The 12,755-nt window shown below is 51.5% G+C and overlaps 1 protein-coding gene across 1 annotated transcript, besides 1 other annotated feature; it reads left to right on the top strand.

Moving 5' to 3' along the window:
• Positions 4,149-4,649: an enhancer, noted in NCBI's record as "H3K4me1 hESC enhancer chr19:17571641-17572141 (GRCh37/hg19 assembly coordinates)". NCBI's record gives its function as "activates a minimal SCP1, AML or CMV promoter by ChIP-STARR-seq in naive H9 embryonic stem cells {active_cell/tissue: H9 hESC(naive)}" and the evidence as "EXISTENCE:reporter gene assay evidence [ECO:0000049][PMID:30033119]".
• Positions 4,555-10,056, top strand: NXNL1 (nucleoredoxin like 1). Its single transcript, NM_138454.2, has 2 exons — positions 4,555-4,937; positions 9,522-10,056. Exons 1-2 carry the CDS (start codon positions 4,612-4,614, stop codon positions 9,832-9,834), a joined length of 639 nt encoding a protein of 212 aa, NP_612463.1. The 5' UTR covers positions 4,555-4,611; the 3' UTR covers positions 9,835-10,056.
• Positions 10,057-12,755: the final 2,699 nt, after the last annotated feature.

Raw genomic sequence — 12,755 nt, 5'->3', positions numbered from 1 at the left:
GGCCAAGGTTGGAGTGCAGTGGCACGATCCCAGCTCACTGCAGCCTTGACCTCCTGGGCTCAGGAGGGAGAGGCTCCCACCCCAGCCTCTCGAGTACCTGGAACCACAGGCGTGTGCCACCACACCTGGCTAATTTTTGTAGAGACAGGGTTTTGCCACATTGCCTAGGCTGGTCTTGAACTCCTGGGGTCAAGCTATCTTCCTGCCTTGGCCTGCCAAATTGCTGCGATTACAAGCATGAGCATGAGCCACTGTGCCATACCTAGATCTGCTTGCATTTATTTATTTATTTATTTATTTAGACAGGGTCTCACTCTATTGCCTGGGGGCTGGAGTACAGAGGCATCATCTCAGTTCCCGGCATCCCTGACCTCCCAGGCTCAAGTCATCCTCCAGCCTCAGCACCCTCAAGTAGCTGGGACTACAGGTGCACCACCATGCCCAGATAATTTTTGTATTTTTTTGTAGAGGGGGTTTTGCTATGTTGCCCAGGCTACTCTTGAACTCCTGGGATCAAGAGATCTGATCGCCTCAGCTTCCCAAAGTGCTGGGATTACAGGTATGAGCAAATTTGCCCTGCCTAGATCAGCTTTCTTACATGGGGTCCCAATAGAGTTTCAAGAGTAAAATGAGAGGCAGAAGGAAACTAAAGATACTCTTCAGGCCAGGCACATTACAGCTGTAATCCCAGCACTTTGAGAGGCTAAGGCGGGAGTATCGCTTAAGACCAGGAGTTCCAGATCAGCATGGGCAAAAGAGTGAGACCCGACCTCTACAAAAAAATTTAAAACTAGACGGGCATGCTGGCATGCACCTGTAGTCCCATCTACTCAGGAGGCTGAGGCAGGAGGATCCCATGAGTCCAGGAGGTCAAGACTACAGTAAGCTATGATTGTACCACTGAACTTCAGCCTGAATGATAGATTGAGACCCCGTCTCTGAAAAATAAAATAAAATGAAGACATCTTTGAAACTCACACATTTCACCACATTCTATTTTATTTATTTATTTTTGAGACGGAGTCGTGCTCTGTCTCCCAGGCTGGAGTGCAATGGCACGATCGCAGCTCACTGCAATCTCCGCCTCCCGAATTCAAGCAATTCTCCCACCTCAGCCTCCTGAGTAGCTGGGATTACAGGCACCTGCCACCATGCCCAGCTAATTTTTGTATTTTTAGTAGAGACAGGGTTTCACCATTGTTGTCTAGGCTGGTCTCGAACTCCTGACCTCAAGTGATCCGCCTGCCTCAGCCTGCAAAAGTGCTGGGATTACAGGCTGAACCACCGCGCTTAGCCCATTCCACCACATTTGATACGTCAAAGCAAGTCATGAAACCTACCTGGATTCAAGGGGGGGCAGAACTAGTCTCTACCCTTTGACAGGGTTGGAGTTGGAGATGCAAAATATAATATCCATGACTTTCAGCCTTCTACACCTACACATCTACAATCTTAAGGTGTGGGTGGTCCAGACAGAATTCAGGAGGATGGAGAAAAAAAAATACATTTTCTTCTTCTTCTTTCTTCTTCTTCTTCTTCTTCTTTTCTTCTTCTTCTTTTCTTCTTCTTCTCCTTCTCCTTCTCCTTCTCCTTCTCCTTCTCCTTCTCCTTCTCCTTCTCCTTCTCCTTCTCCTTCTCCTTCTCCTTCTCCTTCTCCTTCTCCTTCTCCTTCTCCTTCTCCTTCTTCTTCTTCTTCTTCTTCTTCTTCCTTTCATTTGAGATGGAGTCTCACTCTGTCGCCCAGCCTGGAGTACAGAGGCGCGATCTTGGCTCACTGCAAGCTCCGCTTCCCGGGTTCATGCCATTCTCCTGCCTCAGCCTCCCCAGTAGCTGGGACTACAGGTGCCCGCCACCATGCCCGGCTATTTTTTTTTTGTATTTTTAGTAGAGACAGGGTTTCACCATGTTAGCCAGGATGGTCTCGATCTCCTGACCTCGTGATGCGCCTGCCTTGGCCTCCCAAAGTGCTGGGATTACAGGCATGAGCCACCGCGCCCAGTCCCCCCATTTTGTTTTGTTTTGTTTTTTTAGAGACAGAGTCTGACTCTGTAACCCAGGCTGGAGTGCAGTGGCGTGATCTCAGCTCACTGCAACCTCTGCCTCCCGGGTTTAAGCGATTCTCCTGCCTCAGCCTCCTGAGTACCTAGGATTACAGGAGTGCGCTACCACACCCAGCTAATTTTTGTATTTTTTTAGTGGAGATGTGGTTTCATTATATGTTGGCCAGGCTGGTCTTGAACTCCTGACTTTAGGTGATCCTCCCGCCTCGGCCTCCCAAATTGCTGGGATTACAGGTGTGAGCCACTGTGCCCGGCCCATTTCATTAGCCTCTAACTGGAATTCATCAGGTCCTCTCACTGTGAATGCAGACATTGGCTAGCCCTGGAACTTTGTCCCCTGTGGAAATCAAAGATAATTTCATATCACATCCTGATCATAGGAGACACCCTAAAATATCACAGATGCTCACCCTGACTTAGACCTTGAAGTAACTAGTAGAGTCCATGTGAATCAATGTGATTTAATATATTTATGAAAAGGTGTGGCCAGTTGCATGCTCATGCCTGTAATCCCAGCACTTTGGGAGGCCGAGGCTGGAGGATTGCTTGAGCCCAGGACTTGGAGGCCAGCCTGGGCAACATGGCAAAACCTCATCTCTACTAAAAATACAAAAAATTAGCCAGACGTGGTGGCACAGAACTCTAGTGCCAGCTAACAGGGACGCTGAAATAGAAGGATCGCCCGAGCCCTGGAGGTCAAGGCTGCAGTGAGCCATGATCACACCACTGCACTCCAGCCTGGGCACCTTGACAGAGTGAGACCCAGTCTCAAAAAATATACATACAAAAAAGTCAGATATTAAATTTTTTTATTTTTATTTTGGAGACAGAGTCTCACTCTATCCCCCAGGTTGGAGTGCAGTGGGACAATCTTGTCTCACTGCAGCCTCCGCCTCTTGGGTTCAAGCAATTCTCCTCCCTCAGCCTCCCAAGTAGCTGGGATTACAGGCATGCACCACCACGCCTGGCTAATTTTTGCTTTTTTTTTTTTGAGATGTAGTCTCGCTCTGTTGCCCAGGCTGGATGGAGTGCAGTGGTGCAATCTCAGCTCACTGCAACCTCTGCCTCCCAGGCTCAAGCAGTTCTCCTGCCTTAGCCTCCCGAGTAGCTGGGATTACAGGCATGTGCCATCACGAGCCGCTAATTTTTGTATTTTCAGTAGAGATGGGGTTTCACCATGTTGGCCAGGCTGGTTTCGAACTCCTGACCTCAGGTGATCCGCCTGCCTCAGCCTCCCAAAGCGCTGGGATTACAGGCATGAGCCACCACACCCGGTCTAATTTTTGCTTTTTTTTTTTTTTTGAGACGGAATCTCACTCTGTCACCCAGGCTGGAGTGCAGTGGCGCGGTCTCGGCTCACTGCAAGCTCCACCTCCCGGGTTCACGCCATTCTCCTGCCTCAGCCTCCCGAGTAGCTGGGACTACAGGTGCCCGCCACCACACCCGGCTAATTTTTTTTGTACTTTTAGTAGAGACGGGGTTTCACTGTGTTAGTCAGGATGGTCTCGATCTCCTGACCTTGTGATCCACCTGCCTCAGCCTCCCAAAGTGCTGGGATTACAGGCGTGAGCCACCACACCTGGCCAATTTTTGCATTTTTAGTAGAGATGGGGTTTCTCCATGTTGGCCAGACTGGTCTCGAACTCCTGACTTCAGGTGATCCACCCACCTTGACCTCCCAAAGCTTTGGGATTACAGGCGTGAGCCACCGTGCCCAGCCTATTTTTTATTTTTAGACACTAGGTCTTGCTCTGTCACCCAGGATGGAGTGCAGTAGTGCAGTCATTGTAGCCTCAACCTCCCAGGCTCAAGTGATCCTTCCATCTCAGCTGAGTAGCTGGGACTACAGGCTCATGACAACACCATGCCCAGCTAAGTTTTTAATTTTTTCATAGAGATGGGGTCTCACACTGTTGCCCAAGCTGCTCTCAAACTCCTGGTCTCAGGTGATCCTCCTGCCTCAGCCTCCCAAAGTGCTGAGATTACAGGCGTGAGTCACTGTCTGCTACATGGTTTTTTGGTTTTTTTTCTTTCTTTCTTTCTTTTTTTTTCTGAGATGGAGTCTCGCTCTGTCGCCCAGGCTGGAGTGCAGTGGCACAATCTCAGCTCACTGCAACCTCCGCCTCCTGGCTTCAAGCGATTCTCCTGCCTCGGCTGCCCAAGTAGCTGGGATTACAGGTGCCCACCACCACGCCTGGCTAATTTTTTTATTTTTTAGTACAGACAGGGTTTCACCATGTTGGCCAGGCTGGTCTCAAACTCCTGACCTCAGATGATCCTCCCACCTCTGCCTCTCAAAGTGCTGGGATCACAGGCGTGAGCCACCGTGCCCATCTGTTACGTGTTTTCTTAATGCGTTTGCGGCTCTCTCCTGAGAAGGGCCACACAGAGAGCCCTGCCCCCCGCCCTTAGAGGCCCCTCAGGTCAAGGTTTAGGCAGATTAGTGAAGTCCTAAGCTGGTTTTCTAAAGATTTCTATTTCTGGGAGAGGAGCCAGTCAGCAGACCGGGGACCACACGCCGCGCTGTCCCCAGCACCCAACCCAGGTTACCATGGCCTCCCTGTTCTCTGGCCGCATCCTGATCCGCAACAATAGCGACCAGGACGAGCTGGATACGGAGGCTGAGGTCAGTCGCAGGCTGGAGAACCGGCTGGTGCTGCTGTTCTTTGGTGCTGGGGCTTGTCCACAGTGCCAGGCCTTCGTGCCCATCCTCAAGGACTTCTTCGTGCGGCTCACAGATGAGTTCTATGTACTGCGGGCGGCTCAGCTGGCCCTGGTGTACGTGTCCCAGGACTCCACGGAGGAGCAGCAGGACCTGTTCCTCAAGGACATGCCAAAGAAATGGCTTTTCCTGCCCTTTGAGGATGATCTGAGGAGGTGAGGAGGGGCAGGGAGGGCTTCCTGGAGGAGGGGGCATGTTCGCTGAAAGTGAAGCATCCATTCTAACTAGAGTGAATGAGCAGCCCCTGTGTGCCAGTCCATATACTGGGAACTAGGGGGTACAGACAGGGGTGCCCACTTCCACATGCTGGCTTCCATGCCACCCCAGGGAGCTTAGAGCCGAGTGAGAGGAACAGATGCAAAAGACAGAATCAACTATGTAATAGCAAGGCCGGGCATGGTGGCTTAACCCTGTAATCCCAGGACTTTGGCAGGCCGAGGTGGGCAGATCACCTGAGGTCGGGAGTTTGAGACAAGCCTGGTCAACATAGTGAAACCCTGTCTCTACTAAAAATACAAAAATTATCCAGGCGTGGTGGTGGGCGCCTGTAATCCCAGCTGCTTGGGAGGCTGAGGCAGGAGAATCGTTTGAAACTGGGAGGCAGATGCTGCAGTGAGGTAAGATCGTGCCACTGCCCTCCAGCCTGGGTGACAGAGGGAGACTCTGTCTAAAAAATCAAAAAACAAATATATAATAGCGAATTGCAGTAGTGCTCAGAGGACAAAGCTAGGCCACAAAGTGGAAATACAATGAGGGAAACCTTGGTGAGGTTCCGGGGTCAGAGGATGCTTCCCCGAAAAAGTGGCTTTAAAGAGAGACCCCTAGCTGGGCACGGTGGCTCATGCCTGTAGTCCTAGCCACCTGGGAGGCTATGGTAAGAGGATAACTGGAGCCTAGAGTTTGAGGCTGCAGTGAGCTATGATCGCACCACTGCACTCCAGCCAGGGCAATACAGGTAGACCCTGTCTCTTAAAAAAGTAAGGCCAGGTACGGTGGCTCACACCTGTAAATCTAGCACTTTGGGAGGCCAAGGTGAGCAGATCACCTGAGGTCAGGAGTTCGAGACTAGCCTGACCAATATGGCAAAACCCTGTCTCTACTAAAAATACAAAAATTAGCCAGGCCTGGTGGCGCACAGCTGTGGTCCCAGCTACTTGCGAGGCTGAGGCAGGAGAATTGCTTGAATCCAGGAGGCGAAAGTTGCAGTGATCCGAGATGGTGCCACTGCACTCCAGCCTGGGCAACAGAGTGAGACTCTGTCTCAAAAATAAAAATAAAAAATAAAAAATGTAATAAATAAATAAATTACAGGGAGACTCCAATGAGAAGAAAGATAGGAGGATGGAGAATGAGGAAAGGGAAGGGGTTCCAGGCAGAGGGCACAGCAGAAAGGCTTGGAGGCTGTCAGAGAAAGAACAACCAGTTCAGGGAGACTGTAGGTAATTCCGGAGAGGATCAAATTTACAATGTTATTGTTACTGCCCACGCATTTGTCATAATCTTCTTTAGATGTGACAGGTCTGTGGTGCAGAGCCACCTTAACAAGTATAGACATGATCCTCAGAGTAGCAGGGAGCCATGGTGGACATTAGAACAGAGGGAGAGGTAGTCGGATTCAAGCTTTATAAGGAGATGTCCAGCCAGGCATGGTGGCTGACACCTGCAATCCCAGCACTTTTGGAGGCTGAGGCAGGAGGATTGCTTGAGGCTGGGAGTTGAAGACCAGCTTGGGCAACACAGCAAGACACCACCACTCCCATCTCTAAAATTATAAAAAAGAAAAATTATGAAAGGTGGCTTGGTGCGGTGGCTCATGCCTGTAATCCCAGCACACTTTGGGAGGCCGAGGTGGGTGGATCACGTGAGGTCAGGAGTTCAAGACCAACCTGGCCAACATGGTGAAACCCCGTCTCTACTAAAAATACAAAAATTAGCCAGACGTAGTGTTGGGTACCTGTAGTCCCAGCTACTCAGGAGGCTGAAGCACGAGAATCGCTTGAACCCGGGAGGCGGAGGGTGCAGTGAGCCAAGATCGCACCACTGCACTCCAGGCTGAGCGACAGAGCAAGACTCTGTCTCAAAAAAAAAAAAAAAAAAAAAAATTAAAAAGATCCTTTAAAAAAATTTACAAAAGGAGCTGCCCAATGAAACAGTATTATAGCTTGACTTTTTATTATGAAAAAAACGTTCAGGCTGGGTGCAGTGGCTCACGCTTGTAATCCTAGCACTTTGAGAGGCCGAGGCGGGCGGATCACGAGGTCAGGAGATCGAAACCAGGGTGAAACCCCGTCTCTACTAAAAATACAATAAATTAGCCGGGCGTGGTGGCGGGCGCCTGTAGTCCCAGCTACTCGGAGAGGCTGAGGCAAGAGAATGGTGTGAACCCGGGAGGTGGAGCTTGCAGTGACCCGAGATCGTGCCACTGCACTCCAGCCTGGGCGACAGAGCGAGACTATGTCACAAAAAAAAAAAAAAAAAGAAAGAAAGAAAAAGAAAGAAAGAAAAAAAATGTTCAAACATAGCAAAAAGTTGAAAGAAGTGTACAATGAAACCCATCGCAATTGTTAACATTTTGCCATATTCACTTTGTCTACAATACAAATACGTGTCTATAGACACATATACACTTTGTCTACAATAAAAATACGTGTCTATATACACGTATATGCATACGTGTATAGTTTGTGCTAAATTATTTGAAAGTGAGTTGCAGACTTCATGACATTTTCCCAATGTCATGCCTTTTGTTACTCAACAAGTTGGAAGTTTCTGGTCATCATCAGAATTTGGACATCATCAGAGTTTGGACACTGAATCCTGCCCACTGCCCTCGGCAGCTGAGGAGATTCCTCCCTGACGCTAGCAACGCTTCCTTCCCTGGGGCAGAGACGCCAGCTGCAGACAAATGCTGACCTTCTCTGAGACAGGGTCCTCTCAACAAAACATTCACCCAGACTAGTATGTTATCTGGGCAGTTCCCATTCCACATCCCCCGTAGACGGGATGTCCAGTTAAATGAAATTTCAGGCTGGGTGCAGTGGTTCATGCCTGTAATCCCAGTGCTTTGGGAGGCAGAGATGGAAGGATCAGTTGAGGCCAGGAGTTCAAAACCAGCCTGGGCAACATAGCAAGACCATATCTTTACAAAAACTTAAAAAAAAAAATTAGGTGTGGTGGTACGAGCCTGTAGTCCCAGCTACTTAGGAGGCTGACGCTATAGGATCACTGGAGCCCAGGAGTTTGAAGTTACCACGATCTGTGTTCCCGCCACTGCACTCTAGCCTGGGTGACAGATGGAGGCTCTGTCTCTAAAAAAAAGAAAAAGAAAAAAAAATTGAGATAAACAATGAATAATCTTTCTTTAGTATAAGTATGTCCCATGCATTTGGCTATACTTACACTAAAAGATTATTCATTGTTTATCTGAAATTCAAATTTAACTAGTGTATTTATATATAGAATAGAGAGAGATGGGGTCTCGTTATGTTGCTGAAGCTGGTCTCAAACCGTTGGGCTCAAGCAATCCTCCCACCTCGGCCTCCCAAAGTGCTGGGATTACAGGGGTGAGCCACTGTACCCAGCCTCCAATTTTTTTTTTTTTTTTAAGAGAGGGAGTGTCATATATATATGTTGTTTGTTGTTGTTGTTGTTGTTGAGATGGAGTATCTTCGCCCAGGCTGGAGTGCAGTGGCGTGATCTGGGCTCACTGCAAGCTCTGCCTTCCGGGTTCACGCCATTCTCCTGCCTCAGCCTCTCCGAGTAGCTGGGACTACAGGCGCCTGCCACCACACCCGGCTAATTTTTTGTATTTTTTAGTAGAGACGGGGTTTCACCGTGTTAGCCAGGATGGTCTCGATCTCCTGTGAGTGTCTTATATTTTTAATTACTAAACCTGGCAATCTACTCATGGGATTTTGTAAGTATCATGGGTTCTCTTTGTGGCAGCCTGGAAAAGGGCCACGGAAGAATGCAGCAGGCTGAAATTAAGAACTGTTAACCATGTTGGCTAGGCTGGTCTCGAACTCCTGGCCTCCGGTGATCCGCCTATCTCAGCCTCCCAAAGTGCTGAGATTACAGGCATGAGCCACCACGCCGGCCAAGCAGGAGAAATTTTAAAAACCATACATGATGTTGGGTGCTGAAAGGCACTTTGGAGAAAAACACTGCCTTGGAATGTTATTTATTCTATTTTCGAGACAGGATCTGGCTGTGTCACCCAGGCTGGAGTGTAGTGGTGCAATCATAGCTCACTGCAGCCTCGAAATCCTGGGCTCAAGGGATACTTCTCGAGGGAAGTCCCAGGTACCTCGGCCTCCTGAGTACCTGGGACTACAGGAGCGCACCACCACACCCTGCTTTATTTATTTATTTATTTATTTATTTATTTATTTGTAGAGACAGGGTCTTACTACAAATAAATGTAGTAAGACCTTGTGTCTTGCGATGTGAGGTCTCCATACTACAGGGTCTTAGCCTGCAAATGTCTGAGGAGAGCGCTCCAGACGTGGGCACAGCCAGCACAAATGCCCCGAGGTTGGAGCATGCCTGGGGTGCTGGAGACAAAGCGCGGGGACCAAAGTGTCTGGCCCTGTCCCGGTCCTCGTGTGCACCTACCCAGTGCCCGGCAAGAGGCAGTGCACACAGAAGGCGCTGCCTAAGTACTGGGAGGAGGGATGTGGGGCTCTCTGGTTCAGCATCAGGGATGTGGATCCGTCCAGACTGACCTGCCCGCTCCGCAGGGACCTCGGGCGCCAGTTCTCAGTGGAGCGCCTGCCGGCGGTCGTGGTGCTCAAGCCGGACGGGGACGTGCTCACTCGCGACGGCGCCGACGAGATCCAGCGCCTGGGCACCGCCTGCTTCGCCAACTGGCAGGAGGCGGCCGAGGTGCTGGACCGCAACTTCCAGCTGCCAGAGGACCTGGAGGACCAGGAGCCACGGAGCCTCACCGAGTGCCTGCGCCGCCACAAGTACCGCGTGGAAAAGGCGGCGCGAGGCGGGCGCGACCCCGGGGGAGGGGGTGGGGAGGAGGGCGGGGCCGGGGGGCTGTTCTGACCCGCTAGGGTGGAGGAGAGGAGTGGGGTTTGTTGATGAACCTCCACCCCCACCCCACCCCCGCACGCCTGTAATCCCAGCACTTGGGGAGGCCAAGGCGGGAGGATCGCTTGAGCCCAGAGGTTCGAGATCAACCTGGGCAAGAGAGTGAGACCCTGACTCTACGAAAATTAAAAGTTAGCCCGGTGTGGTGGCGCGCACCTGTGGCTTAGCTACCCTGAAGGCTGAGGTGGGAGAATGGATTGAGTCCGGGAGGTCAAGGCTGCAGCGAACCGTGATCGCACCACTTGCACACTGCACTCCAACCTGAGCGACAGAGGGAGACCCTGTCCCCAAAAACACAAAAGGAAACCCTCCTTCCCCGCCCCGCCCCCGTAAGAGAGCGGGATGGGGGTGGGGGGGTGGGGGTGCCAGGGCGGAGGGCAGGGCCAAGGGCGGATGTTATGACCCCCTAGGGTGGAGGAGTTGGGGTTTGGTGATGAACCCCTCCACTCCGGAGGTGGAGAGCTGGGAGGGAGTGGGGGAGGGATGTGGGGTGGGGGTGCCCCGGCGGAGGGTTGGGGGGGGGTTGCCAAGGCGGAGGGTGGGGCCGAGGGGGGCTGTTCTGACTCCATAGTTGGGGAAGACTGGTGGAGGGGTGACCGGTCTATGAAAAGCCTGCCCCCCACTGCGGAGAGAGAGGGCTGGATGGAAGTCGGAAGGCTGTTCTGAGTCCTCCTCTGCCCCAGGTGGGCAGGCCGCGGGAGGGGAATCTGTAATGAGCCTCTTGGAAGCCGAGGAGAGGGGAGGGGAGGGGATTGTCAGAGATCTGCGCAGGAGTAGGGCGGGACGGAGCTCACTGTGGGAGCACGAGGTAGGGGACTGTCTGGGTTCTGAGCACTCCTCTGGGGGCAGGAGGGGCTGGGGGGCTGTTCTGAGCTCCCATGATGAAGAGGGGTGGAGGCGAAGTGGGGATGGGTAGGGGTGATGTCTGTTTTGAGCCCATCCCCAGGAGGGGTCAGGGCAGAGGGAGTGTAATAAGATCCACAGGGAGAAGCAGGACAGGACCTGGGGAGTCTGTTCTGATCCCCATGCAGGGAAGGGTGGGAGCTAGGATGGAGCGAGTGGCAGGGGATTCTCTCTTCTGAGACATCCCCTCACACCCAGGGATCTGTTCTGGTCTTCCAGGTGCGCATCTGAGCCTCCCTGGCCAGGAGATAAAGTAGGGAGAGCTTTTCAAGGATCTCTATAAATATTTCTGAGACCTGGCTGAGGGGGAGTAATTAATGGCTCCAAAAATGAGAAAATCTAAACTAAAATAGAACAAACGTGCTGAAAACGCCAAGCCCATCCTACATTAAATGAGTTGCCCCCCCCCTTTTTTTTTTTTTGAGACGGAGTTTGGCTCTTGTTGCCCAGGCTGGAGTGCAATGGCACGATCTCGGCTCACCGCAACCTCTGCCTCCCGGGTTGAAGCGATTCTCCTGCCTCAGCCTCCCAAGTAGCTGGGATTACAGGCATACCACCACACCTGACTAATTTTTGTATTTTTAGTAGAGACGGAGTTTCTTCATGTTGGTCAGGCTGGTCTCGAACTCCCGATCTCAGGTGATCTGCCTGCCTCGGCCTCCCAAAGTGCTGGGATTACAGGCGTGAGCCATCGCGTCCGGCCGAGTTGCCCACATATTTCATGCGCAAAATCACAACAATCCTTTAACAACAGATTTATATGTTACACGGATGCATTTCAATATTTGATACCACGTGGGCTGGGGGTCCCGGGCTGCCAGCAGGAGCCAAGAGTCTCCCAGGTCTCCCTCTGTTGCTCGTGGACTGGGGCATTACCAGGGAACACGGCAGAATACAGAAATCAAAAACTCCGATCTAGAACCATCTCCTGGCTTTGTGACCGTGAGATCAACTCCCTTCTCTAAACACTAATCCCTTCCTCTGAAAAATTAGAATTAAAGCCAGGTTCTCCCAGGCAGGTCAGTGAAGAAGGAGGAGCAGGTGCTCACTCGGCTCACGAACTGCTTGGTTGGCCTCTGGCGCCCCCTCGCGGCAGGACGAGATGGCACACTTTCGGGGCAGGGCCTAGCATTCAAATGAGATGCAAATCACTCCTCTCGTGCCCAGTCTCCGGAAAAGGTTTCCTAGGAGTCCACGCGTGTCCATGGAAACTAGCAAGCGTGACTGCGGTGCACGGGAATCTGGCTGACAGGAAGAAGGAGGCTGGGGGCCTGGGAGGCCAGAGGGTCCTGAATACTGGATGACCACCTGATTTCATGCTCACCTCGACTTCCAACCTCCAGGTTGGAAAATTGACCCAGCTCAGGACCCTGGTGCTGCCTGATGCTTCATGTTCCAGCAGCCCTCTCTGGACTGCTGTGGCGCATCTGTGAAATGGGTGCATTGAGTCTGGGCGTGGTGGCTCACTCCTGTAATCCCAACACTTTGGGAGGCCGAGGCAAGTGGATCACCTGAGGTCAGGAGTTCAAGACCAGCCTGGCCACTGTCACAAAACCCCGTCTCTACTAAAAAAAAAAAAAAAATATATATATATATATATATATATATAAATTAGCTGGCGTGGTGGCACGCACCTGTAGTCCCAGCTACTCAGGAGGCTGAGGCATGAGAATCACTTGAACCTGGGAGGCGGAGGTTGCAGTCTGCCAAGATTGCACCCCTGCACTCCAGCCTGGGCGACACAGGGAGACTCTGTCTCAAAAAAATAAAAATCACTTAAATTATCTGTAAATCATACCAGGTTGCCCTTTTCCAACAAATCACAGGCGATGTAACCTGTCAACATTGTTACTATTATTCCAGCCAACATGCAGTGACCAGCCATCCGTATCTGGGCAGTGAGGTTGAGGGAGTCCACTCTCTGTCCCTGTCAGGCTGTGTGCCTTGGACTGTATGGTGGAACTCTCCAAGCC

The sequence above is a fragment of the Homo sapiens genome, chromosome 19, assembly GCF_000001405.40.
Source record: "Homo sapiens chromosome 19, GRCh38.p14 Primary Assembly".
In the NCBI taxonomy this organism is placed as follows: Eukaryota; Metazoa; Chordata; class Mammalia; order Primates; family Hominidae; genus Homo; species Homo sapiens.
This window is presented reverse-complemented; position numbering and strand designations above follow the sequence as displayed.

What these genes read in the sequence shown, in the direction of transcription:
- NXNL1 (NM_138454.2), top strand. Translation starts at nt 4,612, where the DNA reads ATGGCCTCCCTGTTCTCTGGCCGCATCCTGATCCGCAACAATAGCGAC. An exon ending in TTTGAGGATGATCTGAGGAG is followed by an intron (nt 4,938 to 9,521) that starts GTGAGGAGGGGC and finishes CCCGCTCCGCAG; the next exon opens with GGACCTCGGGCGCCAGTTCT.